Genomic DNA, 20,372 nt, shown 5'->3' with positions numbered 1-20,372 from the left:
CTTTGAAGGCCAGCTAAGAAGTTGGTCCCAGCCTGGGCATGGTACCACTGTCCTACATTCCAGCCATTTGGGATATCCTGGGTTCAAGCATTCCCTCCCATTGCTGGATCAAGCACTTCCCACCTCCTGCTCTGGGAAATCAGATCTCAGTAGGTCATCAACCATCCCAGAAAGTCCAGCAGAGTTGGTTTTGGTTTGGGGGTGTTTTTTGAGTTGGGTGGAAGAAGAGACCTTACATAATCTTTTAACTTTTTCTCTAAGGCTGAATTCCCTATAAGCAAAATTTTAAAATTTTTTTTAAAGAAGAAAAACACCCAGACAATCCTTAAAATCCCCTTTCAGCTCCAAGACTGTGTAATTCTGTGATACCAGTATTGAAAGCCCCTGCATTTCCCTAACTATATATTCCCCTATGCCAGGGAAAGGTGCATGTAAGTGAGAGAACAAAAAATTTCACAATCGTGGGGACCTCTTCTTTCGGCTTTGGAGCCCCCTTCCCTCTGTCTCTGTACGGGGCAGCTTTTTCCTTCTGTCTTCTCCCTTCCTTCTTGTCTACTAAACTCTCTGCGCCTTAGAACCAAAAATAAAAATTCAAAATCATGATCTTAGGGGTGAAAGAACACTGAGAAACCATAGAAAGCAAAAACGAAAAGCCAACATAGAAAAAGTCTGACTTGAATTAGAAGCAGCACTTAAAATTACAGGTTCAGAAAAAGCTTGAACAGAATCCAGGGCTGAGGTCAGCCCTGAGTCTGCAGGCTCTGCCCTCTCACAAAGGTGAGTAGATGGGTCTGGAGAGGGCTGTTCATGCTATGGAAGGGCCTCTATGCCATCGAGGCTAAAACCAAAGCAGGAGCAAATCAGCCCTGCTAGTGTGTACAGTCGGCATCAAAGAGGCAACAACGGTAGAGAATATTTTCTGAAAGACACACATGAAACCAGTAACGGCGATGGTCTCTGGAAGAATTAGGTCAGAAGCAGACTTAATTTGCACTGTGTACATTCTTTGGTATCCTTTTTAATTGAGCGCATGTGAATGCATTACCTATTCAAAAATAAATGTGTAAAAACACATGCCACGACAAAGCAAAATGAGGAGACAGTATAAAAAAGACAAGGATAATTTTAAATTTCTCCTAATAAAACGCTGTTTAAAAATCTAAGAGGAAAAAAGGGTAGGCTCCAGCTAGTGGAGAGAACAACTGAAAAACAAGAGCCACGTGTTCCCATGGTCCTGGCCAACCCCACTTCTTTCCCATCCTCACTCGTTCACATCTGCCTTGGAGCACCCACAGCAAGCCTGGCTTCATGCCCAGAACATCGCCTGGCTTTCCTCCTCTCTCCCTGCCCACATCTCCTCAGTCACTCGCTGCCTCCTCTCTTGCTTCTCTCCCAGTTCTCAGTTTGCCCATCAAATCTCAGGTGGTACTCTCCATTCTCTGCTATGAGGGAGTTCATTTGTTCATGCAATTTCCCCACCGGAGACAAAATGTATTTCCCAAAGTTGGCTTGCAATGACATCTCCCATGCCTGCTCTGCTTACCCATGACTTTGACACTCCTTCCATCGAGAGGGCAGAACCTGTGTTTCCTCTCTCTGAATCTAGGTGGGCTACAGCTCTGGTAGAAGTGACACTCTGTGACCTTAAGGCTAGGTCACAAAAAGGGAATGCAGCTTCTGCCAGCAATCCTGGGACACACACTTGGAGCCCGAGCTGCTGTGTAAGCCATCTGCCTGCTCTGAGCCCACCACACTATAAGGAAGCCCAAGCTAGCCCACAGGAGAGACGAGGTGAAGAGAATGAGATGCCAGTCTCCACTGCTCCAGCTCTCTAGTGTCCCAGCCCCAGCCACTATCTGACTGCAACCCCATGAAAGACTGAGCCAGAACCACGAGCCCAGCCCTTCCTGATGTTGACATACAGACTTCATGAAAGAGAATAAACTAATTTTTGCTTTAAGCCACTATGATTTGGGATGATTTGTTATGCAGCACTGGATAACTGCAACACCTGCTTCTAAACAGTAGAATCCCAAACGTCTAGGCCCCATCTCTAACTTACTTCATGTTCCTATTCTCACTGATTTTTGCCACTGAGCTTGACCAAGCCCTTGAGTCACCAATTCCAGATATTTGTTTAAACAAATTCACTGTGACTGTCTACACTATCCATTCCTCCAAAACAATCCCTGTTATAGTTGGCCTTCCCCAGTTCTCTTCCTGGCATAGAGTAGTCTGTGCCCTTCTCTCATTTCTTAATATGACCCTCACCCATGGAGTGTTCCTAGATTCTGCTCATTCATAATGCTTCTTCACCCACCCTAACCTCTCCCTCCTGTAGCCACAGATCATCCACTTTTCCAGGCCTCTGCACTGGAGGCTGCATCAGCCACCTCCCAGTACGTCATCCTTTCCAATGCCCTACAACACGGGGCAGAAAGGACTCTTTTTTGCTGCACATCCAGGCTGTTTAAGAAAAGGCTTAAGGCAGCTTAAGCACAAAGAATGTCATCTTCAAACATTGTAACGGCATCTTCTTTTTGGGGCACTGAAGTATTCCCATGATTCCAAGAATCAAATGAACAGCATCTGGTTATGGGGTCTCTGGTCTCTGCCAAGGCAAACTCATAAAGCATTTCAGAGCCCTTCATCTGGAAAGGCCTTTTCTCCACCCCACGCCCAGCCAATGCCCACTCATACTTTAAGGCCCAGCTCATCCGTCATCTCTGCTAGGGAACCTTCCTCAGTCAGTGCCTTATGCAGGCAACCATTCCTGCCTTGTGTTGTGTTGTGTTGTGTTGTGCCTTAAGTCAAATCCTTAACTCATCTTTGTGTGTCCCCTTGCATTTCAGACAGTAGGTGCCCAATAAATGTTTGTGGGATGAATCAACTGGTTATTCTCCTGGAACACCCTTTCCCAGTACACCTCCACTCGCCAGAACAACTGTCTTCCTCACAGGTGCCAGCCATCACCCCGACCACACCCTCTCAAAAGGCCTTTGCCAGTCATCAAACAAAGCCTCTTGTCTCCTGAGAGCCGCTCCACAATCACCTTCCCAAGAAGAATTCCCCATACCGAGTCCACCATTCCTTCCCTGATCAAAGTTGCTTTCACAGGCATCTTTTCAGCTATCCACTCTTCACGGCTTGGTTTTCATGCACTCTGAGTTGGCCCTATCTCCCCTTTTTGGCCTCAAGCACGTCAAGAGGAAGGCTGGTGACAGCCTTTCCCGAGCTCAGGACAGTTTTCATGCAAACTGGTTCTCCCAGGTTCTTATGCCTGGAAGAACTGCTGCTCTCCAATAGCATGAAGTAGACAATGATGTTCTTAGCATCCAGTCTTAAAACTAGAAAAAGTATTGGCACTGCTGGATCCCCAGCTCCTAGAATGGTGTGTGGCACCTGAACAGAGCTCAAAAATATTAGTTGAATGGAGGAAAGAATGAACAGTCATCTGGCCCAGACTTGGAGAAGCTGTGATCTGTCTAGCCCTTCTACACCAGGAGCGAGGCCTGAAAAGCTGCATGACTCACCCAAGGTCACGAGCAAGCCAGTGAAGAGGGGCTGGAACCCTGTCTTTTGCCTCAAAGCACAGGGCCCTCCTTCTGTCCCACCCAGCTTTCTCACCACCCACCCCACCCCTTCCACACTCCAAAGACAGCATCTCCGTGAGAAGTGTTGGGCAGTGTCCAGGAGTGTTTTTCTTCCTGGCTTTAAAACAAATTGTGACAAATGGCTCCACAGATCTACCGGGCCATGGAGCTGAGCAGATGGGACTGCAATTCACGCTATTAACTCAAATTCTACTTGACTTTCTTTCAAATCAGGGCATTTTATCTAGAAATTATAAAAAATTGTTGGGGGAGTGCCTTTGTAAGGAAGTTTGCCAGCACATTCATTTACAAATCGACTTGCTCCTGGCCACCCTCACTGATCACGGACTTTTACTCACGCTCCCTTACTCTCTCCCATCAAAGAGTCCAGCGCATGGAGAGAGTGATGGAATCTTGAGGCCCACCGGTCTAACCACCCACCTAAGCTTGACTCCCCTGTGCCTGTGGACATCCTGCGTGCAGATGCACATTCCCACTAATGGCAGCCAGGGGAAAGCACTATTCGAAAGTTCTTCTTTACTTTGAACTCAAATTGGGCTCAGGGGTCCTGGATACAGGACAACCCCAATCTCTTATTTATTCAATGGACAACAGGTGAGCACATACTAGGCCTGGACACTGATGTAGGTAGGCACTAAAGCTTCAGAGAGATGCAAACGAGCAATCTTTACCCTGAAGGAGCTCATGTTCTATGGGTTCATTTCCTTTCCCTGTGTCTTACAAACAGGTTCCAGTTTGTTTCCGTCCTTCAGAGTGTACTGCCTAGAACTGCATGCTATTCTCCACAAGTGGCCTGACCAGCTTGTGGACAAGGATGAAGCAAGCAGACCACCTTCTTTCAGTGCAGACAAGATGGCTGTTTAGAGGCCACATCACGTGGCAGACACCTGCCAACTAAAACCCTCCATCCTTCCCACAGCCTCCCCCTCCTACACTTTGCAGCTGGATTCAAAACCTTGCATTCACCCTTGTTCCATCAACAGGGCCAGGCCATCAGTCTATCTCATCCGGACTGTTTTTTATCTTACTTGCCAACCTACACACTTGCTGTTCCTTCTTGCCTTAAAGTCATACAGATGACTTTAGGTGATTCAGATGAGTGTGACCTCTACTTTCACCAAACACAATAGTCAATTCAGAAAGGTCAAGGACAGAACCCTCCAGCATGCTAACGCAGCCAAAGAAGTCCGAAAACAATACTTGGCCACACTGTTTTCCTGCTTACGGATGTGGACTGCTCTTGTCCTGCCTGTAAATATATCGGATCGCTCTCCTTCTTGCTGGCATCCACAGTAACTATACTCAATAAACACACCAACTTTGATGCCAAATCCTAGGCCATCCCACACATCTTAAAAATAAAACAAAAATATGCTATTCCAGCTACCCTCACTCTTTTTGTGGTTTCCTGCAGTCCAACTAGCTACAAATCTCAAAGCCAAAGATTGTAGCTCCCTCCCTTTTGTTCTTTCATCAAGCCAGGGAGTCCTGCTCCTCTCTCTCTAGTCTCTCCTGTGTCAGTGCCACTTGTCAACTGCCTAATCCAGCCACGCTGCTCTTCAATATTAAAGGTCTTCAGCATATTTTAAAGTTAGTCTCCTACTGCCACTCTTTTCCCTACTCTTGCCAGTCCACTCAGTAAACTACTGCCATACAGGTCTCCCACAGCAGTTTCTCACCAGATAAACAATGGCCGGAGATTCCACTTTGCCAATCACATCAAGTCCAAACTCCGTGTCTTGGTATCCAAGGCTTCTAAAGTCTGGCCCCACTCCACCTACTCACTCTGACACCCACCACTCCCTCCAAACATCCCCGGTACGTCTTACTGGATTTTGCCATTTCCTCCAAGTTGACCAGGAGTCATTCACACCTAAAGGCTATGCTTACATCGTTTTCCATCTCTTGTGTTGGTGAGCTAAAAACAAGATGGAAAAGAAAAAAGAAGAGGAAGAGAGAAAAAGAGAAAAGGAAGAAATGGGGAAAACAGCAATAGGACCAGCTAACTCCTACAGCAGAGTCTTGCCAGGCCCTCCCCTAATTGCTTTATATGTGTTACAATGTTTAACCCTCACAACTACAACAGGAGTTGGGTACCATTCCATCCCCACCTGCAGATGAGTGTGGCACCCCAAGATTAAGTATCTGCCCAGGGTCACGTGAAAAGTCTGCATGCATGCTGAACCATTCCAGCTGCACCACTGCCCAGGAAAAAAGTCACAGGTAGGAAGACAAGCATAGAATTAAGAACAAAGCAACTAACTGTACCAGGTGCTACAGAAGGGTGGTCAGCCTGGAAAATCAGGAGGTGCATTCCTTGGGAGATTGCCGCAATCAGAGTCTGGGAGTATGCAGGAGCCTGGCAGGCAGCCCAGGGACAGGTGAGGCACAGGCACTCATTCCCTTCCATGTGAGAAGTCAGGGCACGTGCAAAGCCAAGGCCAGAGGACAAAGGTGAGCTCGCCAATAGGGCCAATACTGGGTCTGGCTGGAAGGGGAGGGTGGACAGAGATGGGTACTAAGAAGTGAAGATGGACAGGCAGGACCAGGTCTTAAAGGGTTTGTGTCTTGCTAAAGATGGACCCTTAATTCCGTGACACATCTATTCAACCACTCCTCATTATCTACCTAAATTCTACTGTGCCTTTGCAAAGCCCAGCTCAAGTCCTTTTTCCTCTCAGGCCTGTCCTCCCTACTCCTGAGCAAACCACAGGTGTGGAGACAGGTCCCAACCACCTGCAGATGACAGAAGGAAGCTGCATCTAGGATCGGTCTACACAGAGGCAAGAAGGGATCCTCCTCCTCTGCCTTCTCCTTTCATGCTGTTCTTACCTTCTCTCAAAAAGAAAGAAAATACAGTGTCATTGCTTCTTCCCTAAGCTTGTTAAGTCAAAGCAAGTCAAAGCATCAGAGCTTCATTACTTGGCTTTTTCTAGCTATAAGCGTCTGGAAAATATCAGGAGTCACTGGCCTCTAGGAATCCATTAAGCTAAAGGAGCTCCATGATCTACTATCATAAGATGACAAAGAAAATATGCACTTTCTTTGGGAGGTCAAGTTGGGCGAATCACTTGAGGTCAGGAGTTCAAGACCAATCTGGCCAACATGGTGAAACCCCGTCTCTACTGAAAACACAAAAATTAGCTGGGCTTGGTGGCAGGCACCTGTAATCCCAGCTACTCAGGAGACTGAGGCAGGAGAATCGATTGAACCCTTACCCAGGAGACAGAGGTTGCAATGAGCCGAGATGGCACCACGGCACTCCAGCCTGAGCAACAGTGTGACTCCATCTCAAAAAAAAAAAAGAAAGAAAGAAAGAAAGGAAGGAAGAAAGAAGAAAATATGCATTTTCTCAGGATTAAATAACAAAAAATGCCAAGTTTCTTAGCTCCAGTCAAGAAAATGACATCATGTGACAACAGCAGCCATTGCAAGTTTATCAGAAGATGAACAATTACAGATTTTTCATTTCTGAATAAGGAACCATTTACACAGACACATGTATAACAAATGTCTGTGCACATCCAGGACTTGTCAAATCTTAACATTTTGCCACACCTGGTTTAGTTTTTTTATTTTTCCTTTCAAGAAAGAAAGCATTACAGGCTGTGCTTCAATCCCTATTTCACCCCCTTTCAAGCCCCACTATTCCACCCATCCCAGAAATGACAACATCCCGAATTTGGTATTTACCACTCTTGCACATTTATTTTTATGCTTTTACTACCTATGTATGTAGCCATAAACAATATACAGAGTTTTTGGATGCTATAAAACTGTTTAAAATGGCATCACACTGTATGCACCCTTTTGCATCTGTTTTAATTGACAAAACATTTTTGAGGGTAATCCTTGTTGACATATGTCACTCCAGGGCATTCCTTTCAACTGCTTTATACCATGGTCCACTGTCTGGATAATCATTATCTATAGCACAATGTATTCATTTTCCTACTGATAAATTTTTAAGTGGTTTCCAACTTTTCATTGCAATAAATATTCTTGTAAATCTTCGTCCAAGGTTATCTTCAACCACACTAGGCATTGCCCAAATTGCTCTGCAACATCAGTGCACCAATTTACATTGCCAAGATCAGTGTTTAAGTGTTTCTATTCTTTGATGTCTTTGTCAACCTTGGTACTATTTGACTACTACACTTTTCACCAATCAGATATAAGGATGAAATGGTGCCTTCTTGGTATTCTGAAAATTAATTTTAAATGGGAAAATAAATTACTAATAAGTGCAGCTTAATCAACAAGAGTTTTCATTAACATGTGGGAATACACCAGGTGTTCCTTGGATTTTCTTGAAAATTCTACAGGGAGGGTACGGGAGTGACGGTACAGATAAGATTGGACATGAGCTGATAATTGTTGGAACTAGGTGATGAGTGTATGAGGGTTAATTATTCTGCTCTCTCCACTTTGGTACATATTTGAAATTTTTCACAATAGAAATTAAAAGAAGAACGGGGCGTGGTGGCTCACGCCTGTAATTCCAGCACTTTGGAAGGCCATGGCAGAGGATCACTTGAGGTCAGGAATTAAAGACCAGCTGGTCAACATGGGGAAACCCCACCTCTACTAAAAATACAAAAATTAGCTGGGTATGGTGGTGTGTAATCCCAGCTATTGAGGAGGCTGAGGCACGAGAATCGCTTGGACCCAGGAGGCAGAGGTTGCAGTGAGCCAAGATCGTGCCACTGCACTCTAGCCTGGGCAACAGGGCAAGCCTCTGTCTCAAAAAAAAAAGAAGAAGAAGAAGAAAGAAAACAAAGAAGAAAGAAAGAAAGAAAAAGAAAGAAAGAAAGAAAATTAAAAGAAGGAAATGCCATAAAGCATCTGGAGCAAAGAACATCCAAAGAAGAGCACTGATCACTGCAGCAGACAGCCGTTCAGAATGGGCAGAGAGCAGAGCTGGCAGGAAGAGAGGACAAAAGGAAGACCAGGAAGGGAAGCCAGGAAAAGAGATTTTGCATTGTGTTATTATTTCAATCAGAAGACTTAGGAACATTATTTAATTATCAAATTTGTGTGTCTGATGATCCTTTACAACACTGCAGCATCAAATAAAGTGTTATCAGATTTCTTTCTTTTTTTTTTTTTTGAGACTGGGTCTGATTCTGTAGCCCAGGCTGGAGTGCAGGGGTATAATAATAGCTCACTGCAGCTTCAAACTCCTGAGTTTGTTTGTTTGTTTGTCTGTTTGTCTGTTTGTTTGTTTGGAGAGACAGCGTCTCGAACTCCTGGGCTCCAGTGATCCTCCCACCTCAGCCTCCCAAAGTGCTGGGATTACAAGCATGAGCCACTGTGCCCCAGCCCAACATCTGATTTCAAAAGTACTATTGATATTATAATCACCATTAAAAATCACTGAAGTTTTTGTCACCCAAAGTTTTACTTTGAAATATAGAACATTTCATTTTTTTCCCACACACCTCACATCTGATTTTTGATTTTTAACATGTGCATGAATTACCTCTTATTAGAAAAAAAACCACAAAATTTTTTGGTAAAAGAATTATCCTTAAGTGGGTATTTTTTCCCTAAGTCTGAAATGACTTAGTAAGGATAAGAGGTCAAACCATATGCTTTGTAGTGAAACTGCAACTATGATGAATAACATTAGAATTCTGGATGCCTTCCAGCAGCTGGAACAGGGCAGACCTGAGGCGGGAGTCCTCATGCTTAGGGGAAGGGGCTCAGGCACTGGGAGTCGGTCAGGGCTCCCAGGATGTAAAAGATACACATGAAAGAAACAAACAGTGGGACTCGGGCCAGTGCAAAATTTGGCCTGGAACTGAGCTAAAAACTGTCATACTGGTGGGAAGAAGCAGATTGGTTCAACAGGGTAACCAAATGTGAAAAAGAAAAGCCTCACAAGAATTAAAATTGATGGTTGGAACTGGGCGCTCCGAGGCTGTGGGCCGGTGTCCTGCCCCGAAGGGTTTGGCTGCCAGCAGGTGCAGCGCTGCCCTGGGATACCAGCTCCTGGGATGCGCTGTAGTATCATCAATCACCGGTGCTGCTCGCTGGGCCTTGGAAGCACACAGTAGTAGCAGATGTCAGCAGGGGGCCACCAGGGCCACCTGCCAGTGAGCCCACTGCTTAGCTGAGTCATGGTCAAGTTTCTCTGCAGATTGTTGCCTGAAAATATTTCACCACCTGGAACCTCCCTGTCCCACCCATCTTCACTTGCAATACTCACTCCCCTCACCTCTGCCCCTAAAGCAATTATTCATTAACCACAGGGATCCACCATCCAGGAACAAAAGAGGCTTGAAAGCTCTATCTGTGCCTGCACTTCTTGGTCCAAAAGGCGCAGGGGGATGGGGGAGAGGCACCGGGGTCATGGTGCAGGCTCGGCTGTTGAGCCTCATTCCCCAAACACAATGTGACAGGTATCAATAGTTCTGGAGTTGATCATTTCACAGAAAGGAAACTGCTGTCAACCTGCCCAAGGCCACACAGCTAGTCCTGGATAAATTGACTTAAAGAACCCAGGTCTCTGATTCCCAAATCAGTGCTCTTACCCCTCCCACGCCACCTCTCTCTTCTAAAGATCCACCCAATGGAACTGCCCCAGGGCTGGTATCCCAGCTACTTCTCCATTCATGCCGCAGGTCAATGATTCAGGGCGGACACTCCTCAAGTGACCTTCAGAGGCCCTGACTCACTCCTCCGACAGTCCTTTGTGTCTGGACTCCCAGCCGCTCCTCAGCAGCTCTGTCCTCTTTTGTACATTTATTACTGTCAGCCTGAGGCTAGCAGGAGGTCTCAATGCCTGGTGATCTGAGGCCAGCCTGTCCCAGGCCCTCCCAGTCCCGTGAGGTCCTCCTGGGGATGCAGGCACAGCGACTGACAAGGATAAGGAGCAGAAGGGCAGGTGGCTTTCTGGGTATGAGCTTGGCCTTCTGCCACACCCATGCTCAGAAAGGTGTCTACGGGCACGTCTTGTGTTGTCACAGGTGTAGAAAGGGCTTTGACACGCGGCAGATCCTCCAATCCCTGTGAAAGAGGGATCATTCTTTCTATTATACAGTGAGGACGCTGAAGTCCAGAAAGGTCAGGTGACTGATGAAAGGTCATAAAATTAGCAGGAATCAGGGAAAGGGCAGGAAAGCAGAGCTTCCAGTTGCAAGGTCAGGACTCTTCAGCCCAGCAGGCGAGTTTGCCAGCCAGTCTGTGCCCTGGTCTCTGCCCTCCCCAAACACGTGCACCAATTTGGAGGGGCTGCTCCCAGCACGCATGCTGCAAGATAAACTTCAGTGCTCAGCCCTCTCACTGTGACAACAATCCCTTAGAAAGGGGTCCACGCTGTCCATCTGGGCCCCTACACCAAAGAACACCTAATTATCAGTGGTCCTCACTCAGGAAACATGCCCACAAATAAAGACAAAAGTAAACCCAACTACACATTCCTCAAAATCCTCCTCTCCATTTCACAGAAACACCACAACAGAGCAGAACTGCAACCTGATAGCATCCCTGTCTGGTTTTGGCTCTTTCAAAACATCAGGGACCTCACAGGAAAGCAATGCAGAAAACTGCAGTCATTTGGCCGCTTGTTAAGGAGAGCCCTGAGCAGCAAGCTCCAGACCGGAGATGCGCATATAACAGCAGCAGTTCCACACAGCCCTGCACAGCAGCAATTCAGCCTCTGGCAGCTGTGATGATGCTGAGGCAGTGTCCCCACTGCCCCAGTGGCTTCTGCATGCAGGTTCATTTGGGACAGGACACCTCTAACTCCATCTCTGGCCAGGAGCCAGCATAGTAGGTGCCGTGAAAGCCAGGAAGTGAACTGCACAGAATGGACTGTTCCAGTGTCCATGGGCTGCAAGTGGGTCCCACGTCACCCACAGGTGAATCTTAATTATGAACCAAGGTGACGGCAGAGAGGATGGGCAGCAAAGGAGGGTGTGTGTGGTGATCAGCCATCAGAGGAGACGGCCCTGTGTGATGAAAGGACCTCCTCAGGAAACCTCCCCACCAGCAACTGGCTCCAAATGGTCAGACTTTCCAAGAAATTCCTGTGAAAAGGACAGGCTCAGGGCATGTGAATGTGATAGTCAGCAATTCGCACCTCAGCAGCCAGTGACACTATGGTATAGGGAAAAGAACCTAGATTAGGCATCAAAAGTACCCGGTCCCCTTCATACATGGCTGGTGGGGAGGTAGGATGGTGCAGCCACTTTGGAAAACAGTCTGGTAGTTTCTTTCAAAGTTATCAAATGACCCAGCAATCCCACTCCTAAGTATTTACTCAAGAGAAATAAAACCTGTGTCCACACAAAGACTTGTACACATCCTAATAGCTGTATTCATAGTAGCCCCAAACTGGAAACAACCCAAATGCCCATCAGTTTGTGAAGAGATGGACAAAATGTGCTATATCCATAAAACGGAACCCTACTCAGCAATAAAAAGGTGTGAACTAGATACACACAAGAACATGGAGGGATCTCAAAAGCACTGTGCTGAGCGAGAGAAGCCAGATTCAAAGGGCTACACACTGTAGGATGCCATGTGCATCACATTCTGTACAGTGCAAAACTGTAGTGGCAGGATTCAGGTCCCCTGAGGCTGGGGTCCTGGAGGCAGGAGAGAGGCTGGTAGCAAGGAGGCACAAGGGAACTTTCTGGGGACAGAGGAGTGGTCCATATTTGATAGGTGGTGGTTATGTGGCTGCTCATGTTTGTCAACAAAGAATTACATATTTTAAACTGGTGAGTTCCGTTGTATGCAAGCAAATTATACCACAATGAAGCAAATCTTTAAAACACTAGGTTCCTTTTCTTTATCTAGAGCTCAAAGTAGTGGCCCATGCTGGCTATGACTTGGAGAAATCACACAAGCTTACTGGGTCTCAACTGCTTCATTTGTACAGGTGGCTGCATAACACTCCCCGGGCAGGGGAACTGTAGGGATGAAATCAGCAAATGTGAGTGAACACACAGAGGAAGCAACACATAGGCCTTCCCCAAATACCCACTTCTGTTTTCTTTCCTCAGTGTGAGTAAGTGGCTCTAATGATCCACAAACCTTCCAACCAGCCAAGTCAAGGACCAGCAGGAGGACTCAGGAAAGTACTGAAATGCTGGGGAGAACCAGGACAGCGGCTGAGCACAGCCAGACAGGGAGGGCAGCCTGGTGGGGCCCTGGGAGCCATGGACGCGACTGCGCTGGGAGTGGGGATGGGAGATAGCAGGAGTTGGTGGGTGGGGCACAAAGTGGGAGCCAGGGCCAAATTGCTGCTGATTTGACCATTTTGCAAAAGGCCAGCCTGGCTGTGGCCTCAGGCCTCTCATTTCCTCTACCATAATGAGGGGTCACGGAAGTGCCTTCCCACAACTGCAGCATCTCCCTCCACATTTGGGCTCAAATACAGAGTGGGGCCGGAGACAGAAAAAGTCTCCGTGACACACTGTGATTTGTTTCTGCACTGTGTGAACCCTTGGCTCTGTGACACAGAACACAGGTTTCAGCAGTTCCTGTCACTTCCCACAGGCGAAACAGACAGAGCATTCTTTTGTCCGGCTTCTGGTGAAACGCCATTATCGTTATTTTTAGGAGGAAGATGGAGAATTGGGGTGGGTCCCCACAAAGAGGATGGATTCAGGAGACTTCCAGGAACCTTAAACGGCTTGGAAACTAATTGTGCCAGTTCTTTTTGATGTCTAATTTTACTCTAAAATTTCCTCTCAGCACAATATATTAATACTGATCAGCCAAGAGAAGGTTAGGTTTTGGCTCACAAATAGTCAAGGAGAGAATCTCCTTCATTCATTGAGAAGGCAGAAGATGGCGTTAAAGAGTATTCACAGGTAACTAAGATTGCCAGAGGGAGAATCGAGTGAGTTGTCAGTGGTGAAATACAGAGGAGGTAGAGAGAGCTACACTGAGACAACAAAGGCAGCTTAAGGGAACAAAGCCAGCTAAGGGAACAAAGCCGGGGTCCCTCAGGTCTGTGGCCACCGGCTCCAGCCAGGACAGCCTGGTAGCTGAAGAGCACGTCCTTGCCCGTTACATGCCTGTGTTTCAAGTGATGCTAACTTGCTAATGCAGATATCTCCCCAAACCCTGCCCCTGGCTCACCACCCAGTGAGCAATCACTCACTTTCCCCAGGACACCTTCAGGGAGGTACTCTGCCAGCACCGCACACTTAAACAGCTACTGCAGGTTCTTCTCTCAGACGCAGCACGGTTCCTGAGATGACGTCAGCGCTGCTCGCTGAAAGCACCAGGCAAGGAGGCAAAACAAAGGAAATCCTAAAGAGCAGGCGAGAGAACAGTGGAACTGGCAGAGAGAGGCACTGGTGCGGATGGAGAGGGCAGCAATAAAAACTGGGGGACACTTAGAGGCAAAGGTATGGCAGGTGACAAAAAAGATGAGCTGAAGCTCAGGAGAGACCCAGGCAGCGATGCCCAAATGACCGGCTGAGGAATCACCTCACTGCTGCTGATGCCCTTGACAGCAATGTCTGAGGCTGGCGTGAGTGCTCCATGCTCAGAGATACCTAGAACCCAGCTACAATGGCCTTATCAGACTGAAACAAGAACACCAAGATATTCCAAGGGAGGTGACAATGGGGTCCAAAGGTTGTGCATTTATGGATCACAACTATGTGCTGAGTGTGGCCCAAATCCCAGCTCCATATGGTCACACCATGTCTACAGCCAATCAGCTGACCGGGGTGGCAACCCCTGGCTCTGCTCAACAATAATGACAACCATCATTTACTGAGCACTTACTATGTGCCAGACCGATGCTAAGTGCTTTCCTCAGATGTTTCCATTTAACTCTTAGAATCACCCTAATGAGTATCTCCTATTATTTTACAGATGAGGAAATGAGAGTTTAGAAAAGTAACTTGCAAAATCATACTGCTGGCTCCATAACAAATGTTGATTGAATGTTGTCTGGGTGGACAGAGGCAAGGATGACCGGAACGAGACAAACAAACAAAAGGCTGACTGACAGACCATTCGGGTAGCACTTTTCCTGGGATTAAGCTTAGACCTTGTAGGCCTATCAGCCAGAAGCAGTGTGTAAAATAAGAGTGGCTGACTGGGCACGGTGGCTCAAGCCTGTAATCCAAGCACTTTGGGAGGCCAAGGCGGGAGGATCACCTGAGGTCAGGAGTTCAAGACCAGCCTGGCCAACATGATGAAACCCCGTCTCTACTACAAATACAAAAATTAGCCGGGTGTGATGGCACACGCCTGTAATCCTAGTTACTCGGGAGGCCGAGGCAGGAGAATCGCTTGAACCCGGGAGGCAGAGGTTGCGATAAGCTGAGATTGGGCCACTGCACTCCAGCCTGGGCGACAGAGCAAGACTCCCTCTGAAAAAAAAAAAAAAAAAAAAAAAGAGTGGCTACCCAAGAACGCAACAGCAGCAGCAAACACTGATCTGATGACACCCCAGTTTTGCAGAAGAGGAAGGAAACATAAGAATGTCAACTCTCCATTCAACAGAGAAACAGTGCCACCACTGTCTTTAAATTTTCAAACTTATCAAGAAAAGCTCCAGAGAGGCCAGTGCCAGCAATGCCGGCTGTCTCCCAAGTCTGAAGGGTTTTCCTCTGGGTATTAGGAGTTGAGGTGTTTGGTTAGAGAAGAAACAGGATGCACGGGAGATCACACACACAGATTAAGAGGTGCCTCTCAAATGCCTTTCCCACGTTTCTAACTCTGCTTTTTTTAAAGCACGATCAGACCCGCCATCTGCACTTTTACCTGCTGCCTGACGAAAACCAGATGCCAAAGGCCTCCCAGCACTCACGGGGCCCTTTACCCTTAGGAAAACACCGTGATTCAGCCAGGCCAGATTGATGCAACATTGTAACAAAGCGTATGCAAAGTGCCTAGCTCCGGACTGCTTGCAGAAAAGGCACATTTTGACTCTTCTGAGAGTGGGAAAGATTTGAAAGATGGGATTTGCACCTTATTCTTATTCAAGTCTGGAGATCTGGAACTTCTTCCTGAAGCTCCACGTTTAGCCAGATAATTGAGACGCTCCACCTGGTCACCACTGGACACCAGCCACCCAAACATTCTCCTCTGCAAGGCACTTGGCATTCTGGTGCCTGTGGAGAGAGCAGCCTTCTCACTAGCACAGCTCATGAACAAGGATCCCCTTCCCTGGACAGCCAAGATGTAAACCTGCCCCCAGAAACACTGAGAGTCCTAGAGGTAGAATGAGTCGGCCAGCAAGCTCCAGCCCATTGAATGCAGACCCCTGAGCAAATCAAGTCAGGAGAAGGTGGACAACTGTACCCTGAAGACCACATACCACCCAGACCCAACACAAATAGCTGTCAGCACTGCCACCCATTACAGCTTCAGATCTCGCTTCTACCAGCATTTCCCAGCTGAGCAACAACCGTCAAAGTCTGGTCCTGGAAGGACAGCCCTCCCCGTCTTGGCAGCCACACTTTCTGGCCCTAGCCCAAGGCTGCTGTGGCATGGGAGGAATCAATGGAGGAATACATGGCTCTTCCCTGGTTCCTTCCTCTCCCACTTCATTGACTAACACTAGTCACATGGCCCCAACTGAACTGTGAGGGAGGCTGGAAAATCTGGAGTATGTGCATGCCTAGTGAGTTGCCTCTACCACATCCTCTTAACCCTTGGCCTCTCATTCCCAAAGTCTAGCCCTATTTTCAAATGAATTCAACGCCTCATTACTTAGATCTTTCCTCATTACCTCAAAGCCATAGTGGCAAAAAGCAAACAGCATCTTCCTAAAATCTTCCTCTTCCATCTTCCTCTCCTAGATATCCATCTTACCCTTCTTTGCCAGTTAATTTATTACAATCTTCCTTTGACAGCTTCACTCCCTCCCCGCACTGCTATCAACTCAAATGTGAGTTATTTCAGTAGCTTGAGCTTGTCACTGGCCTTTTACTTTTTTCCCCTTCCAAAGAACCTGGTACCCAGCTACTTAATCCTTATCCTTCTTCCCAAGGCCCACTTTCATTCCTTTCTCCCCCATTCATGAGCCTGCAATACTTTTCCCGCTGCATAAGTCACGTGTCACCATATAAACTCACAATTTGAGGTGCTCTAGAATCTGTCCATGGAATTAGTCAGGACATAATCTCCCTGTTTTTCGGCAGTGCCACATCCATACCTGTCTTCACAGGTTTGCTCATGCCACCATTCCTTTCCCCAGAACGCCCTTCTGCTCCTCCCACACAAATCCTAACCCTCCCTCAGGACCCATTTAAAATACAATCTCCTCACTCAACTCTTTCCTACCAACTTGCTTTCCCCTCTCCTTTCTGCCTTACCACAAAGCTAAGCTCTGTCTCTGAATAATGTGCTTTTTGATGATAATCTGAATGGTACAAGAAGAAATCCTATTTCATGCTCCTTTGAGGGAGTGTCTAATATAGGTTGCCTTCGACTATAAGTAATAGAAAATTCCCACTCAACTGGCTTCAACAGTGAGGACAAAATGTATGGAGATTGGACGGTTCAGTCTTCAGGGGCTTGGCCCTCAGGGTTTTTCCCATCTCTTCCCGTCTGCTGGCCTCAACAAACCTGCTTTCCTCATTGCAACAAGATGGCTGCTTCACGTCCGAGAATCTAGTGAAAGAAGCTGTCCCTTCTGCATTTCCTTTTACAAGGAAAAACATCTTTCCCAGCATCTCCCAGCAGACTTCTCATACCTCAGTGGCCAAAACCATGTCTAAACTACGGGCCTCCAGGATGGGCTCAGCTCAATCAGCACATACCCTAGAGCTGGAGGCAGGGTCACCTTTCCTTGAGTGGCGTGTGGGAGAGGTGTGGCATCCAACCCAACTGGGTCCTGCCAGCAGGAAGAGAAAACAAGAGCCACTGTAGGTAACCAATCACGTCTACCACAGGCAGGGACCAATACCACATATCTGTGTTTCCCCTCACTTGCCACCCCCATCCTGTGCTGGCAGATGAGGATGCTCAACAAATAGCTGTGGAACTACAAATTATCCTGTGGGTGTGAGAAAAGAGTGTGCATTATAATAGGGTGGTACAATTGGACATGTGTGCACGGAAAATGGAAAAACAGCCATGAAATCCAAACAGATGCAAAAACGTTCTTAACACAGAAGGTTTGGGAAGCTCTGATCTAAGCCCTAGCCTGGGCCCTACTCCCAGTTCCACAGATAGGGAGCAGGCCCCAGGCCAGAGTGCTGGGCTTCTCCCAGCAGGATCCAGCTGGGGCTTTCTCCTCAGTTCAACCCTTGCCTCTGAGGACCAGTGGTCTACAGTCCAGCCCACAACCCTTCAGACAGAAGTTCCAGGCACAAAAAGGAAGCTCACAATAAGGAACGCCCATGCCTAGCCATAACTGAGCGCATCACAGACTCACACAAATCTGTGGAATGAGTGCATGATCTCATGAGCTCTGGTCTGGAAAAGTAAGTCTCCCTACACTAGGACTTAAAGGGAAGGCTTCTTTGGCTATGCCAATATCTTTCCTGCCACTTTCTTCTTCAGGCCAAACAGCTCCTATCCCTGCCTTCCATCTTAGCTTTCCAGCATACTCTTCCCAGGTTCTTTGGGCTACTGACAAGCACTCCAGACCCAAATACACATGCTCCCACCTGAGGCTGGGAAATGTACCAAGAACTGCATAGAAAATATACTGGACAAAAGGCACTCCAGTCTCACAGATCTCCAGTCCCACAGTCTATATCACCAGTTTTAGCTGTTTGAAGTTTTAGAATTCCTTTTCAAAACCATAGCTAGCATTTCTTTGGCTAGAGAAAACTGTGTGAAATGCAGCCTACCATAGGATCACTGATTACAACATGCATTCAACATTCAATACATATTGACTGAGCAACTATTAGGTTGAACTATGTGACATTATTGACATTCGACTGCTTCTGACCTATCAAAATGGCAATAAAGCTCAACTTAATATTTACTCTATGCCAGGCAGTAGGCTAAGGAAGGATTTGGGACACCATGACAAACAACACAGAAGTAACCCCTATCTTAATGGAACTTAAAATCTAGTTGATTAAACCATTACTTACAAAAGTACAATCTAACTTCAGGATTGTAATTAATTATAAATGCATTTATTTGTTTACTGCCTGACTTCTTTGCTAGCCTATAAACTACACAAAGATGAGGGTTATGTCTCCTCCATTTCACACACTGGCAAAGCATATAGCAGAATACATCATATATTTGTTAAATGTATTGATTAGTGTTACAACAGACAATTGCATGTGCTATGGAAGCGTTTGGCAGAGAGATCTAATCTAATCTTGGAAGGTGAGGATCCTGGCCATCACTAACTTGGAATTTCTGATACTGATGATATAAGGTTGAGTTATGTCTTCATGAAACAGGTCTCTATACAGCATATAAACAACTACCAGCATGCACAGGGGTTCCGTAGGGACTATTTAAAATACTTAAGGGAACAAACGGTTTTCAAGCTCAGTCTAGTATTTCAGAAATTCCATTTACATAAACAATTGGTGCACTAATTGCAAATCATTCTTATTTCTCTCCTAAAGCAGGATCCCCTAAGGATCTTTATTAGGCATTCTATTAGCCTAGTTTGAGTTACAGTATTTACTTAAAAGTAATAACAGTGAAGTTCTTGAAAAATATTTGGTAATTCAGACATTTTACTAATTCAAACTAATCTTCCTCATTAGTCTACGTTGTTAGAGGTTTAACCATTGTATTAAGAGAAAGTATCAAAGGCTTCACTTAGAGTAATAGTCACCAAATTTTTTTGCAAGACACCTTGGTAGCAGGAACCTGAGCTAACATCAGGAGGTAGGTAGAAATAGAAAATAAAGGAATGACAATTTGAAGAGCAACTGCAATCCAATTTAGTCCAACAGATGACACACATATGAAGTCACATTCAAATTATAAGCAGAGCACAAAAATATTTTAGATCCTTATCTTTTGATTAACCTGGTATCATTCAGGGAAAAATGTCAGGGAACACCACTGACCAGCAGTCCTCTCTTATCTATTTTGCAGATCTTATCTATTTTTCTCCCTGAGAACCAGCCCTGGACACAAACTGCATAAACATCAATGAGCCTAGACAGGGTCTTCATGTGTGTTTGGCCTGCCATTGTTCTCTGTACCAGTACGGAGATTTAGTAACACACTGGTCACATTCATGGGGCATCTTGAACTCTCTTGACATGGTAAATGAACAGCAGGTCCTGTTCCCATGCCAAAAGCAAACAAAAACCTGTCACCAGCAAGGAAGACACCCAGTCTCTCCAAAGGATGCCAAAGTCCACATCCAGCCTCCTTTGCAGAGCCTCACAAATCTCTCGGATGCAGGCAGGATGATCACGGGCTAGGGAAGATTATGCTCTGAATGTCTTAAGAGATTAGTTACTTAAAATCCTCCACATGACTTCAGTCATCCCCGTTGCAGATCACAGAGTAAAAAGCCTACCTGATTAAAGCTGAATGCCTATACATTTGCAAAAGGGAAAATATGCAGAAGAAAACGAGAGTCAGATACTGATGGGCATAGCACCAGCTCTAGGACATCAGAGGTGTTGAATAAATGATGACAAGGAGACACACATAGTTCTGATATATTCACCATAAATACCACAGTCCTCAAGGCTCTCTCAATTACTTACTTCCCCCCAAATCAGAGACTGAATCTGGCCTTATCTTCAAATGAGGCCCAGCTCTCCCCAAATTCCAAATATGGGAAATTACAGCTCCTCTGTGGTAGGGGGAAGAGTGGGAAGGCGAATGTTT

This window comes from Homo sapiens (genome assembly GCF_000001405.40).
Source record: "Homo sapiens chromosome 22 unlocalized genomic scaffold, GRCh38.p14 Primary Assembly HSCHR22_UNLOCALIZED_CTG1".
Taxonomy (NCBI): Eukaryota; Metazoa; Chordata; class Mammalia; order Primates; family Hominidae; genus Homo; species Homo sapiens.
Note: the sequence above shows the minus strand (reverse complement) of the source record.